The sequence below is a fragment of the Homo sapiens genome, chromosome 2 (genome assembly GCF_000001405.40).
Source record: "Homo sapiens chromosome 2, GRCh38.p14 Primary Assembly".
Lineage (NCBI taxonomy): Eukaryota > Metazoa > Chordata > Mammalia > Primates > Hominidae > Homo > Homo sapiens.
This window is the reverse complement of record NC_000002.12, coordinates 109980614-109996805: the sequence shown is the minus strand read 5'-3', so window position 1 is coordinate 109996805 and position 16192 is coordinate 109980614. Positions and strand designations below refer to the sequence as shown.

At 49.8% G+C, this 16192-nt stretch overlaps 1 long non-coding RNA gene and 2 pseudogenes across 3 annotated transcripts, besides 2 other annotated features; 1 reads left to right on the top strand and 2 right to left on the bottom strand.

Moving 5' to 3' along the window:
- Window positions 1-1524: 1524 nt before the first annotated feature.
- LINC01123 (long intergenic non-protein coding RNA 1123) lies at window positions 1525-9826 on the bottom strand. Of its 3 annotated transcripts, NR_046110.1 has the most exons (4): window positions 9616-9826; window positions 8004-9245; window positions 2987-3171; window positions 1525-2405 (listed from the first exon to the last, which is right to left on the bottom strand). It is a non-coding gene; the product is annotated as a long intergenic non-protein coding RNA 1123 (long non-coding RNA). The 3 variants fall into 3 exon arrangements; NR_046111.1 differs by lacking the exon at window positions 2987-3171; NR_046112.1 differs by lacking the exons at window positions 2987-3171; window positions 8004-9245.
- Window positions 8443-10460, top strand: ZBTB45P1 (zinc finger and BTB domain containing 45 pseudogene 1; annotated as a pseudogene).
- On the bottom strand, window positions 11718-12741 carry GPAA1P1 (glycosylphosphatidylinositol anchor attachment 1 pseudogene 1; annotated as a pseudogene).
- Window positions 14977-15476: an enhancer, noted in NCBI's record as "H3K27ac hESC enhancer chr2:110738907-110739406 (GRCh37/hg19 assembly coordinates)". NCBI's record gives its function as "activates a minimal SCP1, AML or CMV promoter by ChIP-STARR-seq in primed H9 embryonic stem cells {active_cell/tissue: H9 hESC(primed)}" and the evidence as "EXISTENCE:reporter gene assay evidence [ECO:0000049][PMID:30033119]".
- Window positions 15477-15978: an enhancer, noted in NCBI's record as "H3K27ac hESC enhancer chr2:110738405-110738906 (GRCh37/hg19 assembly coordinates)". NCBI's record gives its function as "activates a minimal SCP1, AML or CMV promoter by ChIP-STARR-seq in primed H9 embryonic stem cells {active_cell/tissue: H9 hESC(primed)}" and the evidence as "EXISTENCE:reporter gene assay evidence [ECO:0000049][PMID:30033119]".

The following is a 16192-nucleotide window of genomic DNA, read 5'->3' as shown; positions in this document are numbered from 1 at the left end:
TGCACCCAGGGTGCAAGACCCAGATCAGGTCTGGGTGACAGGAGGGGGATAGAGGGGCTGAGGCTCAGGGGCCTTCTAGCCTAACTTGTCTGGAGACAGCTGGGGAAACTGAGACCCCAAGCAGGGAGGTATGGCTCCAAGAGATTATTCTCATTAACCTGAAACATTTTTGCAAGCTGTTAGGTATAGGAAGTCTGTCACAGGTAAGAGAAACGCTTTTTGAGAGCATGAGAGACAGCAGGGTTGTGATAATATTGAAGCACCACTGTGCAGATTCACCGATTGCCACCACCGGGAGCCCCCCTGAGAGCCATTGCAGATGCACAGCCCTCCCCTGCAACCCCTGGACCTCCCCATGGTCTGGCACCTAAAGGGTTACGTCTCATGGCAGGAATCAGGGCCCTCAGGATGCCCTGCCCACTCCAAAGTCTGCCTCTGCTCTGATTGGTCGCTGACATTCAGATTGTCACCCAAATATAAGGACGTTAGCAGAAAGACCCATGCAATACAAGTGGACTCAGACATAGATAGGAATTGGGTTGCAAAAAGCCCCTTTTGTTTATTTTATTTTGGAAAAAAATTTTATTGTGAAAATTCACATATATATATAAAAAATTCAATCAATACAAAAGGATAGACAATGAACAAATGAATTCCCCTTCCACTCCAGATCCCCACCCCAGATCCAGACCTCCTGAGCCCACTTCCCCCATCTCATCACAGATCCAGACCTCCTGAGCCCACTTTCCCCATCTCATCACAGATCCAGACCTCCTGAGCCCACTTCCCCCATCTCACCACAGATCCAGACCTCTTGAGCCCACTTTCCCGATCTCATCACAGATCCAGACCTCCTGAGCCCACTTTCCCCATCTCATCACAGATCCAGACCTCCTGAGCCCACTTCCCCCATCTCATCACAGATCCAGACCTCCTGAGCCCACTTCCCCCATCTCATCACAGATCCAGACCTCCTGAGCCCACTTCCCCCATCTCATCACAGATCCAGACCTCCTGAGCCCACTTTCCCCATCTCATCACAGATCCAGACCTCCTGAGCCCACTTTCCCCATCTCATCACAGATCCAGACCTCCTGAGCCCACTTCCCCCATCTCACCACAGATCCAGACCTCTTGAGCCCACTTTCCCCATCTCATCACAGATCCAGACCTCCTGAGCCCACTTTCCCGATCTCATCACCAGTGATTTCTTGGGCCCTGCATTAGTTTTCTATTGCTGCTGCAACAAACAGCTACAGACTCAGTGGCTTCCATTTCTGTCTTATAGTTCTGATTGCCAAAAGTCCTAAGAGGATCTCACCAGGCTAAAGTCAAGGTGCTGGCGGGGCTGTGTCCCTTCTGGAGGCTCAAGGAAAGAATCGGGTCCCTGCCTTTTCTAGCTTCTAGGGGCTCCAGCTTCTAGGTTTGTGGCCTCCTTCCTCCATCCTCAAAGCCAGCAACAGCAGGTGAAGTCCTTGCCCATCGTGCATCACTCTCCCTTCTGCCTCCTTCAACTTTTTTTTTATATTTAGGGGGAACGAGTACAGGATTCTTCCATAGTCAAAAAGCTCCTTATAGAGAAGCTCGGAACTTTCAATACAGCTTTGCATTTTTTACCATTTTAATTTTCCATTTAATTTAAATGTATTCTCTCATTTGACCTTCATACTCTGTGGAGAAATATTTCTATTTTGGCTTGTATTGACAAGCTGTTTTCACACAGCCCCCACATCACCCAACCACCCAGCAGAGATCCTCATTCCCATGAAACAGATAAAGAAATTGAGACCCAGGGAGGCTAAGAGTCCTGGCAGGATCATTCACCTTCCAAGGTAAGGAGCCAGTTCCAGACCTGGGTTTGTGCAGCTCCAAGCTCCCCCGTCTTTCTACAATGCTAGATTTAGACTATAGCAATCTAGCAAGTGTGGCCACACAATGGTCAAGTTGGATTTAGATGATGTTCTCTATAAATCCATTCTCCTCTCCCGTGTAAGCAAGGCAAAGTACTCCAGGCCATGGGGAGTCCCTGAAGACTCGATGAACTGCAATGGCCATATCAGGAGGTTGCAGGTTGACCAGAACTCACCGACACAGCAGGAGAGCAGCTTGGAACCTTCAACCCAGCCAAGACCCAGTGCCTTGGACTGGGGGAGAAAACATGCAGCCATTCCTCTCTCTCTCTGCTGGCTAGAGGGGATTCTGGCTTTTCCTGCCAGAGCCACCCCTTTCCCTCCTCCTAAAGTTGATGGTGGTTCTTTAAGGAAAGGGAGAAGTGCACGGTGTGATAGGGCAGGAAGAGAAGAAAACGGAGGAGAAGAGGGGACTTTCCCATAAGCAGGCAGAAGAAACGGCAGCTGTGTTGTGTGATGGACATGGATGCAGCGGTGTCCAATGTGGGGTCAGCCCTAGAGGAGAGACAGAGAGAGAGACAGACAGTGAGAGAGTCCTGGCCCTTATGATTAACATGGGATCTGCCTGCAAATGCTGTTTAGGGCCATCGCCTCTTCCTGTACTGCTATTTTTGAGAGTGATGCTCCTGAGCCCCATGACCCAGTCAAATTTCATGTCCCCTTGAGCCAGATTCAGTGCTGGGAGTCCAGTGTGATCTGCCTGGATCTTGCTGCACTGAGAATAGGGCAGATCTTGATCCCAATACAGGGGCTGGATATGAACAGGCAACAGCTGGGTTTCTGAATCAGAAAGACTTGGTTAATTGCTAATTGCTTAGGTGAGTAATTTAATTTTGTTGAGTCAGATTCCTCAGCTATAAAATGCAGATGACAATACTTATTCCTCCAGGTTGTGGGGAAAATGGAGACTCTAAGCACGATGTCCATTTCACAGAAAGATACCAATTTGGTGGCTTATTTTTCTTTCTACCTTCAGAAGTGGCTATCCCTGCCACCCAAACAGACCCTTGACTCTCAAGTGGATGTCCCATTTGCACAGGGGGAGACCTGACAGCCTACGTTGAGTCTATACTTACCACTTAGTGAGCATTGTATCCACTCAGGGGCCTCTGTGGGCATCCGTCTCCTCTGCAGCATCTTTCCTCCCCACAGCTGGGTCTGCACATGACCCCCTCCTTGGGTTAGGCCTCTGATCAGTGATGACCTTGGTATGGTGGTGATGGTCAGTCTTGGCATCAAATGAGCCAGTTTATATCATCAGCTATTCAATAAAACACTAATCTAGGTGTCACCGTGAAAGTATTTTGTGACATTGTTATGTACATGTTGTTACAAATGTGCATGATGCATTTACTACAGTATAGAATTTTGCCTGGGTGCCAGCCTGAAGTCTGTCTGACAGATCATAGCCATGTTAGTCCAATAGTCACAGGGGCCAATTGATTAAATTATTTTATCTCCCTTGAGAACTAAAAATGAAACCCTAAGCCCCCCACCCGACTTAACAGACCCCCTGTTGGCCAACGGAACCTCAAATAAATCTTAAAATTCAGTTCTTGGCCATGACAGGACAGGAGGTCAGACATAACTCCCTGTACCTCTCTCCCTCTTATGGTTTAGACCCAACAACTGAACAGCATTAACGTTAAAATAGAGATCATGAGACTGACAGAACAGACTCTTTGTGGCAATAAGACCCCAAATTATAAACAGGACCTAGGGCCATGCCAGGCAAGGGTTAAGTCTTGTACCCTACTCTTAAAGAATAAACTAGATTCTAACTACCACATAGTTTTTATTTTTCTCTAGCAGCCAAGCAAGCACTGGCTATGAGAGAAGCAAGATTAAAACAATTACAACTCACCCAGTTCACAGACACTGAGTAACTGATCTCCTGCCCCACCGACCTTAACGACAGCTTTCACTGGACAAGGGACTGATTTCAGTAACTTTCTCCTGATAAGAGACCATCCTCCATGGACTGGTTCTGGCCAGTTTTAGAGGCTGTGCCTTTACAGAGGCTGAGTACCTTCATTCCCTGCTTCACTTTTTGATGTGTAGGGCCTAATTATAACACATTTAAATGTCAAGTCTCCACCCCAGAATGAACATGCATGTTTATTCAATATGCATGTGTTAGGACCTCTTTTATGAGTATTCTCATAAAATGATATAGCTCCTCTGATATCCTATTGAGTATGTATATGTAGTCAACTCATTCAGCTCAAATTCCTGTCCTCTCCTTCCCTCCCTGGAAGGGCCTGCCTCTAGCCTTGGCTGTAGGCCACACTTCCCAGCCTGTCATAATGGCCACCTTGCAGGCTGCAAACCTTTATAAGAAATAAAGCTCTCTTTTCTAAATTTATAAAATTGTGTGATTTTTCAGTTGATGCTCTCTTTCTACACACACACACACACACACACACACACACACAATTTATACAGAAAGAAATCTGGAGAATATATGTGGGAATGGATATTAAGTGTGTGGCACCATGGTGGAAGTAACACAAAGTTGGAGTAGGCTAAATTTATTAATGTTGGCCCACTAAACAGAGATTCTGGATTCAGGGTTGTAGGTCAAAGTTTTAGAAAGGGCTCCAAGGGTTGGTTTGATCGGTTACTTGGTTGGTTGGTTGCTTGCTTGCTTGCTTGCTTGCTTGTTTGGTTGGTTTGTTGCTTGCTTGCTTGTTGGTTGATTGGTTGGCTGTTTGCTTATTTGTTTTGTTACTTGGCTGGTTGGCTGAAACAGAATCAGAGTTTACCTAAAGTACATAAAGTTGAGATGTCACAACTTCCTTGGTTTATGTGTATAGGAAGGTATGCAAAAACTCAGGGAGACTGGATTTATTATGTCAGACCTGCTCACTCACACTGGAGGGTCTACAGAACATACTTCTCACAACGATCATGAGAAAGAATATTGTGAGAGGAGCCCAGTATCCTGGAAGAGCTTTGAGCTCGTGCTCTCAGTAGGCAAAATGTTACAGCAGAAACTGCAGCCACTGGACTGGGATCTTTAAATAAAATGAGGATAATTGAATCCTGGGGTGGCAGGGAACATGGGCTGTCCTTAATCACCAAAGATGAGGTGGGTGTGGTCACTACAGTGGAAAGCAGTGTCAAAGCAGCAGTCAGAATGGTTTGACTCACAGAAACCCATGGCATTGTGTAGTCCATGGTATCCACAGGGAGAGCTAATGGGCTGTACCAAAGTCTTAGTTGTTTTTTAAAAAATGAAGAATTCTAGGTCAACTGAATAAAAGACTAACTCAAATTAATGAAACACAGATCTAAACCCTCAATCAATTCCCAGACTTGAGCCAGTTCACAGGCCCACAACCCCTAAGTGAAGGGGAGGCTGGGTGATCTTGGGGAAGTACGCTGCTACATTGCCAAAAACTTACATAGTTAATCTTTTTCCCAGTCTTCCCCAAAGGGACCTACAGCCTTCTACCAGGATGACTGTGACTTAGAGAAAAGAAAATTCTCAGATATTTGGGGAATTCTGGACACTGGCTCTGATTTGACAGGAATTCCCAGAGACCAAAAACATCACTGTGGTCCACCAGAGTAGGGACTTATGGAGGTTAGCTGGTGGATGGAGTGTGAGCTCATGTCTGTTTCACAGTGGATCCAATGTGTCCCTGAACCCACCCTGTGGTTGGAATAGACACATACTCAGCAACTTTCAGCATCCCTACATTTGTTGTTTCACCTACGGACTGAGGACAAGTATGATAGGAAAACCCAGTTATGAGCCACTAGGACTGGTTTCACCTAGTAAAAGAGTAAACCAAAAGCAAGAGTGCATTGAGTGCTATGTAAATGCTCTCCAAAGGGTGGCCTTGGCAGAGAAGGATTTCAATAATCAAGCAGATAGGATGACCTGTTCTGTGGACACCACTCAGCCTCTTTCCCCAGCCACCCCTGTCATTGCTCAATGGGCTCATGAATACAGTGGCCATGGTGGCAGGGGTGGAGGTGATGCCTGGGCTCTGCAACATGGACTTCCACTCCCAAGGTAACCTGGCTGTGACTCTGAACCACCTCCATCATAGAAGAGGCAGTGTCTTGTTCTCACTGAAACAGACACTATGTATGAGAATTTCCCCTCCTACCCTCAATGTTCCTATCACCACTGATAAATTGTACTTCATAAAAATCACACTACTGTCTGGACTTACAGAGTGCCTTATCCACCTCATGGTCTCCCACACCAATTGGTTCTCATCATCACTATTACCCCTAGTGACACACCAGCAAAATTTTCATTTCCTGTCCCTCAATCTTATGCTCTGCTGGTCTAGAAGTCTTGGTCCCAAAAGGAGGAATGCATCCCCCACGATACAAAGAAATGATTCTACTGAACTGGAAGTTAAGATAGTCCCTGTCCACTCTGAGCTCCTCATGCCTCTGAATAGACAGGCAAAGAAGGGAGTTACCGTGCTGGCAGAGGTGGTTGATCCTGACTACCAAGGGTTAATTGCTTCTACTCCACAGAACTAAGAAATAATACTTCTGGAATACATGGGATCTCCTAGGGTGTCTTCAGTGCTACCTACTACCATGCCCTGTGATTAATTTAATGGAAAACTACAACAACCCAATTCGGGCACAGCTGCCAATGGCCCAATTCCTTCAGGAAGGAAAGTTTGGGTCATTGCCCCATATAAAGAATCAAGACCAACTGAGTTGCTTGCTGAAAGCTAAGGGAATACAGAATGCGTAGTAGAAGAGGGTAGTTATAGTTACTAACTAGGAACATGTGACCAGATACAAAAATGAGGACAGTAATTGTTGTGACTTTGACAAGGGAGACAAGGCAATTCAATGGGGAGTGAATAGTCTTTTCAAAAATGTCCTGGGACAGATTGATGTTCACATGTACAGACTGAAGTTAGTCCCCTCCCTCACACCATTTATAAAAGTTAACCCTAAATGGATCAAAGACCTAAATATAAAAGCCAAAAGTTTAGTACACGTAGGAGAAAATATGGGACTGAGGCTTTGTGACCTTGGGTTAGGCAATGATTTTATGGATATCATACCAAAACCACAAGTATAATAGAAAATATAGATAAGCTGTACTTTATAAAATTCACAAATATTCCTGTATCAAAGTAGACTTTCAAGAAAATGAAAAAATAATTACAATGTGAGATAAAATGTTTGCAAACCCTATATCTAAGAAGAGAATTGTATAAGAATATGTTTGGGCCGGGCGCGGTGGCTCACACCTTGTAATCCCAGCACTTTGGGAGAACAACGTGGGTGGATTACGAGGTCAGGAGATTGAGACCATCCTGGCCAACATGGTGAAACCCCGTCTCTACTAAAAATACAAAAATTAGCCGGGTGTGGTGGTGCATGCCTGTAGTCCCAGCTACTCAGGAGGCTGAGGCAGGAGAATCACTTAAACCCGTGACGCAGAGATTGCAGTGAGCCAAGATCGTGCCACTGCACTCCAGCCTGGCAACAGAGTAAGACTCCGTCTCAAAAAAAAAAAAAAAAAAAAATATATATATATATATATATATACATGTTTGAACATTCACAAGTCAATAGTAAAAAAGAAAATAACACGATTTTAAAATGGGGAGACAATCTGAATAGACATTTCTCCAAAGAAGATATACAAGCAGCCAATAAACATGAAAACATGCTCAATCTTATAACTCATTTAAACAATGCAAATCAAAACCAATGAGAAAGCACTCCACATCCATCAGGAAGGCAATAACTAGAGAGACAGATAACAATAAGTGTTTGTGAGAATGTGTGGAAACTGGACCCCTCGACATTGCTGGCAGGAATATAAAATGATGCTGTCCTTTGAAAAGCAGTCTGGCACTTTGTCAAAAAGTGAAACACGGGGTTGCCATATAATATAGCAATTGCACTCCTAGATCTGGAGAAATGAAATCATGTGAAAAGCTTGTATGTGAACGCTCAGAGCAGCATTATTTAGAACAGCCAAAACGTGGAAACGACCTAAATCCCATAAACTGCAGAAGAGATAGATAAAATACGGTGTAGGTAAGTAACAGAATAGAAGTCAAACATAAAAAGTAACAAGCTACTGATACATACCATGAACATAAATGAACCTTGCAAACTTTGATAGAAGCCAGTCACATAAGACCCAGTGTTGTGTGACTTCATTTATATGAATGGTCTAGAATAGGCAAATCCATAGACTGAAAGTGATTACGGATTTCCTAGGGCGGGGCAGATCAGGGAAATGGGCAGTGGCTGCTGATGGGTACGTAGTTTCTTCTGGAGTGATGAATGTTCTAAAACGATGGTGATGGATACACAACTCTGTGAATATATACAAACCCCTTGCATGGTACACTTGAAATAGATGGGCTGGATAGCATGTAAATTATATCTCAATAAAACTGTATAAAAATAAAGAGAAGCGCCCGGAAGTGCTGCCTTGGAGTCGGTGAGAAGGCGGCCACGGCCAGGCCTGGTGCCTGAAGAGGAGTCGGAGTCGGCGGCTGTAGAGGCTGTGCGCCACATACATCTGCAGAACTTCTCACGCTCTCTGCTTGAGACCCTCAATGGGCAGAAGCTGGGTGGGCACTTCTGCGACGTGACTGTGTGCATTCATGAAGCTTCGCTGCGTGCGCACCGCTGCGGGCTGGCAATCGGCTCGCCCTCCTTCCAAGACAAGCTGCTGCTCGGCCCCTCTGAGATCCGTGTGCCTTCGGTGGTGCCTGTGCAGACGGTGCGACAGCTAGTCGAGCTCCTGTACAGCGGTTCGCTCGTTGTGGCACAGAGTGAAGCCCCGCAGGTACTCATGGCTGCGTCGGTGCTTCGCATAGACAGTTATCGACGAATGCACGCAGATTATCGCACGCGCTCCTCTGCACCCGCGAGCACCTCTGCACCCGCGCCCCTGCCCACCCCTGTGCCCCCGCCACTCGCACCTGAGCAGCTGCGTCACCGCCTGCGCCACCTGCTGGCTGCGCACCCCCGGGGCACCCCGGTGCCGCGCACAGCGGTAAGCAGCGCCGGCCCGCGAGTTTGCAGCTGCCTGCGCCCCCGACACCTGCCAAAGCCGAGGGGCTTGGTGCCTACCCCTCACTGTCCGCGGCCCCTGACGACCGAGGTGACAACGATGACGAGGAAACTGACGATGAGACCGATGGCGAGGACGGCGAAGGTGGCGGCCCGGGAGAGAGCCAAGCACCTCCTTCCTTCCCAGACTGTGCTGCCGGCTTCCTCACTGCTGCTGCTGACAGCGCGTGCGAGGAGTTCCATGCACCCACTGGCCTCTCTGACTACAGTGGTGTGGGAGAGATTTTCTTCCGGGATCTGGGGCAGCTGAGGACGTATTTCCAGACAGCTATGTAACCGCTTGGCACGACAAGGATGGCGCTGTCCCCGAAGGCTGTCCCACCGAGACCCCTGTCCAGCCCGACTGCATACTGGCTGGACCCCGCCCGCCTGGCGTGAAGACCCCAGGGCCGCCTGTCGCACTCTTCCCCTTTCACTTGGGTGCTCCCGAACCACCCGCACCACCCCCTTCAGCACCATCCGTGCCAGCCCCTGCGCCCCCACCCGCCTTCTACCCCACACTCCAGCCCGAGGCAGCCCCCGGCACTCAGCTGCGGGAGGCCCCGGCTCCCTCTGCTGCTCCCACCACGGCCCCCTCAGGCACCACTGCTCGCACTCCTGGTGCCGAGCCACTTGCCTATGCGTGCGGCCACTGTTGCAAGACGTTCAGCTCAAGGAAAAACGACACCAAGCACATGTTCATCCACTCGGGGGAGAAGCCGCACCAGTGCGCCGTGTGATGGCGATCCTTCTCGCTGCGCTACTGCCGTTTCAAGCACATGGTCACGCACACCTGCGCGCACGCCTTCCAGTGCGCGGTCTACGCCAAGCCCTTCCCGCAGAAGAGTTCGCTCAATATGCACATGCGCACTCAGCGGCCAGAGCGCGCGCCCTTCCCCCGTCTACCGCAAGGTCTCCTCTCACTGGGCGCTGCTGGAGCACCACCTGGCTGCGCACCCCGCGCCCTGATGGGGCTGGGGCCTGGTCTCGCCCACTGTGGATCCGCAACCTCCCGCACAGGCGGCCACGCCTGCTTTCCCACCAGTAGGCCACGCTCCCTCCTGAGCGCAAGTCCTCTTTCTCCCTTCACCCCTTTCTCCATACGCCCAAGTCCGCCTTACTCCTCTCCTCCATGTACTTGAACCTTCCAGGTGGTGCTGGGCTGGGGCTGGGCCTGGGACTGGTTAGGGATCGGACCACCTCTGAGAACTAGACCATTTCCGGCCTAAACCAGGCGCTCAGGCCCTTGGACCCGGCCCAAGATTTGACTCCGGTTCTCGCCCCGCCCTCTTCTGGGGTTGGGGTGGGGACTGAGGCCGCTCTCCTGCTCCAGTGTCGGGCTGGGCAAGGTCCCTGGCTCCCTACCCAAGCCATCACTCCCTCATGGGGCTCCTAAGGAGGCTCAAGTGGACCCATCATATATGGGGGCTGGTCCTCGGGACCCTCACTCTAATAAAGGAGTGTAGGCCATGGTGCCTAAACAATAAATAAATAAATAGAAGCTCCAGTTCACAGCCCCCATGGGGCCTAAACAAACAAACAAACAAACAAATAAATAAATAAAAGCTCTAGTTCATAGTCCCCTTGTGTTAGGTGTAGTCCTATGACCAGCTTTTGCCAAAGGGAGGCAATGGACTAAGGTGAGCCACTTCCAGAGCTGGCCCACAAAAGCCTCCAATGCCTTTCTCACACTCTCCCCTTCTACCGATAGATGCAGGTGGGAGGAGGTCCCAGAGATGACGGAGGCACCTGATGGAAAGATTCTGGGTTCCTGCATGCCCACGCAGAGGAAAGCAGCCTCTACCCTGAACGCCCAGCCAGCAACTTCTGGTGGGCCCAAAATATAATGTGAAGTCAGTGAAATCTGGGGGAGTCATCTGATATTTCAGCACATGTAACTAATGTATCTGCTTAAAAACTTGGCCGGGGCCGGGCGCGGTGTCTCACGCCTGTAATCGCAGCAATTTGAGAGGCCAAAGCAGGCGGATCACTTGAGGTCAGGAGTTCAAGACAAGCTTGGCCAACATGGTGAAACCCCATCTCTACTAAAAATACAAAAAATTAGCCAGGTGGGGTGGTGGGTGCCCGTATTCCAAGCTACTCAGGAGGCTGAGGCAGGAGAATTGCTTAAGCCCAGGAGGCGGAGGTTGCAGTGACCCTCGATCGTGCCACTGCACTCCAGCCTGGGCAACAGAGTGAGACTCCATCTCAAAAGAAAAAAAGAAAAACACTTGACCGGGGGCAGTGGCCCACGCCTGTAATTCCAGCACTTCGGGAGGCTGAGAATGGTGGATCACCTGAGGTCAGGAGTTCGAGGCCAGCCTGGTCAACATGGCGAACCCCATCTCTACTGAAAATACAAAAATTAGCTGGGTGTGGTGGTGTGCGCCTCTAATCCCAGCTACTCAGGAGGCTGAGACAGGAAAATCACTTGAACCTTGGAGGTGGAGGTTGCGGTGAGCTGAGATCGCACCACTGCACTCCAGCCTGGGCAACAAGAATGAAACTCCATCTCAAAAATAAATAAAATAAGTAAAAATTTAACCACACTGTTAGCTAAGTATTTTTTAGACATTTAAACCCATTTAAACCCAGCCATTTTGTCTCAGAAAATTTTGTTCCTATGCAATGTTTGATTTTGTGCTAAATAAAACATTTAAATCAGAATTATACCAATCTTTAAATCTTTTTGCTAACACAGTATTTTCCAGGGCATTTTTTTTTTCTATTTTTTTTTAAAGCAGCTGAAACAGGCACTTGTTTATTTCCCCAGAAGGAGGCAGAATGGGGTCCTTGGGGAGTCTCTGTCCCAGCCTGGTGCCCCGGACAGGCAGATCTCACTTCCAGAAGAGCACATTCCAGAAAAGTAGTCAGCAAGGGCAGAGGCCCAGGGACAGCAGTGGGAAGAGCAGGGCGCCTTAGGTGTGGTGCTCCAGCGCACCCTGGGCCAGTGCTGCCAGGAAGAGCTGCCAGCCCTTGGCCAGTGACAGTGGTGCCTCCTGCAGCTCCCGCCACAGGAATGGGCTGCCAAGGAGCGTGGCTGCCGGGCTTGTCAACACCAGCAGGACAGCACAGAGGGTCCAGGGCCCAAAGGCTCGGCGAGCACAGCGGCAGCACCATAGTGGCGGCCAGCAGGAAGTCCAGTCAGAAGTTGGTGAGGGCGATGCAGCCCAGCTGCAGTATTAGGTAGATCAGGGCTACCAGCTTCAGAGCCATCCAGCCCCTGTCTGGGACCTGTGTGCTTACCATCCTGTGCTGGGGGAGGGGGGACACTAGGGTCAGGGACCCCCCTGAGCTCCTCAAGGCCCACTCCGGCCTCATGCAGCTGCATCCACAGTTGCAGAGCCTTGAAACCAAGGACCAGGAGCAAGAAGCTGGTGGCGGGCATGTAGAGGCCGATGGAGACGAAGCGGGACAGAGTGGGGAGCAGGTAGAGGAAGAACAGCTGGTGCGGGTGTTCCAGGAGGTGGTTGAGCTTGCAGAACATGCCCTCCAAAGCCTTGCCCGCTGCCACCAGGTCATACTTGTACTGGCGGAAGCTACTGATGCGACGCAGGGTTAGGGCCTCCACGTGGTAGTGCAGGAAGAGGCCACGGGAAGCCTGCCACAAAATCATGAGCAGCAGTGTTTGCAGGCCCTGCAGCAGTTCGTCCAACAATGTCCAGTCCTGGGGCTGCAGCTTACCCTGAAGCGTGCACAGCAGGCCCACTTTCTGGCAGAAGGTCTGGAAGAGATTGAGCAGGTCAAGGTTGGGCAGCTGTCCATGGCAAATTTTATTCAGACATGTTAAAACCTTGATCCATTTTATAAAAATAAAGGATAGAAACCCAATTCTAACTCATCCACTTTATTTTTTATTTTTTTATACAGAGTCTTGCTCTGTCACCCAGGCTGGAGTGCAGTGGCATCATCTCGGCTCTCTGCAACCTCCACCTCCTGGGTTCAAGCCATTCTCCTGCCTCAGCCTCCTGAGTAGCTGGTATTACAGACATGCCTCACCCATGCCTGGCTACTTTTTGTATGTTGGCCAGGTGGGTCTTGAACTCCTGGCCTCAAGTGATCCACCTGCCTCGGCCTGCCAAAGTGCTGGAATTACAGATGTGAGCCACCATGCCCAGCCTCTAGCTCATCAACTCTTATTTTTAATTCACCAAAACTATTTTATCAGGATTTTTTTTTATTTAAATGACTCTGTTTTGGGCCACATCAAAATTAACTGACTACAGATTCTGCTATCGTAAGTTTTCTTTAGGGATCAGTATTTCTTTAAGTCAACTTTTCAGGATCAAATTAAACACAACAAAATATTTTCCAAAATATTTTTCTTCCAACAATTTTTGGTCATCGTAAGTTGTATCACATATAGTTTTAACCGTTATCCATTTTGCGTGGATTATTTGTATTATTAATCTTCACTATGAGAATTGAAATATCTCTAGTCAAAATGGTGGGGTCAAACCATTCTACTTTTTTAGTTTAGAGATTTAAATTAGTCTTAGCTTTTAGGAACATGCTGCTTGCCTAGAAGTCTCCATAAACCCCTGTGCTGGCCTTGCCCCATTGATGAAACAGAAGAGGATTTTCTCAGAGCTCCTTACAAATTACAGTCAGGTGGAAGCCAACACATCACTTCCTATCATCCTGCTTAGGCACTGAAAGCAGCCTTCCTACTCACATATCCTGGCTGAGAGCCATGACTTTTTCTCTCTCTTCAATGAATACATACCAAGAAAAGAGAGTCTGTTTTAGACAAATAAATTCCCAATTTATCTAAGGGTAACTCAGTTCCTCCCCTTCATCTTGCAGTTCAGTGCAGGGAGACAACGCTGGTCTTCACCCGGGATTTTCATACTTCCCTGTTTCTTAAGAACAGAGGGCTCGGTTTTATCCTCGGCAACAACTTGCCAAGCGAAAAGGCTACCGCTCCTGACTAACCTACCTTGTAGCTAAGGTGACCAGAACAAGTCCAAGCTAACTGGGCATGAGCAGAGGCACTGTGAGGGGCTCGCAGAGGCTGTCTGCCTGGAACTCACACAGCTGAGCAGGTCTTGGTCCTTCCTTCTCTCCTCTTCCTATCTCTGAAGCACAGCCCTCTGGGGTCCAGAGACAGCATTGAGGACAGAAGTCAGCTACTGAGACTCTGGGACAGCAGGACAGGTGCTGGCTGATGGCTATGGGGACAGCCCGGGTCAGCATGGACAGCCACCTCCAGAGTTCTTTAACAGGAGAAAGAAAGCGCTCTCTCTTGTCTGTGCCACAACTGTTCTGAACTTTCTGCTGTGTGTAGACAAATCTAACCCCAGCTGAGGCACTCACTTTTCCCTGAATCTCTGTGAGCTGGGACCAGTCCTGCCCTTCCCTGGGACACACGCTCCTGCAAGAGGCAGGGGTGTAGGTGACCGGCATGACTGTAAAGATCTGGGGCTCTCGCCGGTCCCACATCCATGGCCACTTCTAATAGTCACAGAGGCTCAGTTTCCCCCTGGGGAACTACTCCCTTCCTCCAAGTCCATGTGGTTAAGTAAGGTTGGCTTACTTCCTGGTTGCAGGAGACAGGAACCGTGGGACACGCGCTGGAGGAACCACTGGTGCCATGCAATGTGCTGTGCAGTGTGGCTCTGGTGCACCTGCCGCCTGGGGCCCATGCAGACCGTGTGTGCATGTGTGGCCATGGGCATGAGGCCCAGGCATCTCCTTCAAGGTTCACGCATGCCCACTCATGTGGAGGCCCAAGGTTACCCCAGAGCACATCCCACTCACCCACCAGGTATGGAGGGAGCCAGACAGGTCCACACTGAGACTTCCATATGCAGTTCCAGTCCAACCCCTCATTAGACACTTGGGAAACCCAGGCCCAGAGAGAGGAGGGGCTGGCCCAGGACACAGGACATGGGCAGAGTCCAGTTACCATCTCCTAGGCCAGGGCTGAACCATATCCCATGGGGTTGCTTTGGGAATCGGAGCCCCTAAAATCCTGCAGACCCTGACTCACTTTTCCCAGGAGAGGCTGTTTCCTCTCAGCATCCCCAAAGGTGCATACCCACAGACACGCACAAGCTGACATCACAGGGGGTGACTAAGGGTAGGATGGGAGGAGAAGCGGATCCTGGGTAGGTAACAAAGGGAAAGAAGAAAGAGGCTGAGGCAGCTCTGCTACAGACAGCAGCATCCAATCACCAGAACCATGACCAGGGCCCATAGCATGGGAAGGGGAGAGATGCAAAGAGGCCAGGCTGGGGGATCCCTAAGGTCCCCTGGGTCAGCCTGGTCTGGTACCACCTCCACGGCAGTCAGGGGAAAGCAGGGCCTGGGGTCCTGTGTCCACTGCTGTGGGCACCTTCAACCAGGATGAGCCCCCTAGACTGAAGGGGCTACAGGAAAGAAGACCTCAGTTTCCTTCCCTACATACTGAGGTGCTTGGCGTGGGTCACCCCAAGAGTCCCACAGGCTCAGAAAGCCTCCGTTGCCCCAGCTCTCCATAGGTGACCCACTGTGCTCCAAGGTTCTTAGAAAATGCTTTCTACCCCTGGAGTTCCTTCTGAGCAGAGAGAGGCAGGGTGGTTGATGCACTGAGACTTGGAGCAGCAGAGCATGGACCACGCATCCCTGGACAAGGGCAAAGACCCCAGTGTGGGAGCCTCAGGTCCTCCTACTGTGGAAGTGGAGCCGGGGCCACCTCCCTGGATGTGGTGAGGAGGCCTTGGAAGTGTCTGGACCCCAGGCCAGTGCTGGCAGTAGGAATAAGAGGGTTTTCTGATATTTCTCTCAATCCTCTTGGATTTTTGCCCCCTGGGATGTGGGAGCGTGGATTTGCCTTGCAAGTTCTGTGTTGTGGTTTTCCTTCTTTGGATGCAGTGCAAGCTCTGGCCACCAGGGGGAGACATGTGCCCACTGTGTTCTGCGGGAGCACCTGAGCCAGGGAAGAGCCAGGGGTCATTCAGGCCATTCCCCTGCCTCCAACCTGACCTGCATTTCCTATTGTCAGCATCCATCTCCACAGTCCGAGCTGGTCCGTGGTAGGATGTGGGAGTGAGGGGCTCCAGATCCTCTCATTTACTCATTCAGTCTTGATACCCAGAGCACTTACCTTGTTCCAGGGTCTGAGTTCAGCTTGGGTGCTGCAGTGAAAAAGACAGATATGGTATGGTCCCTGCCCTCCAGGAGCGCACCATCTGGAGGGGGAGCGGGACCAAGCCACAAAACATATAAGTGGG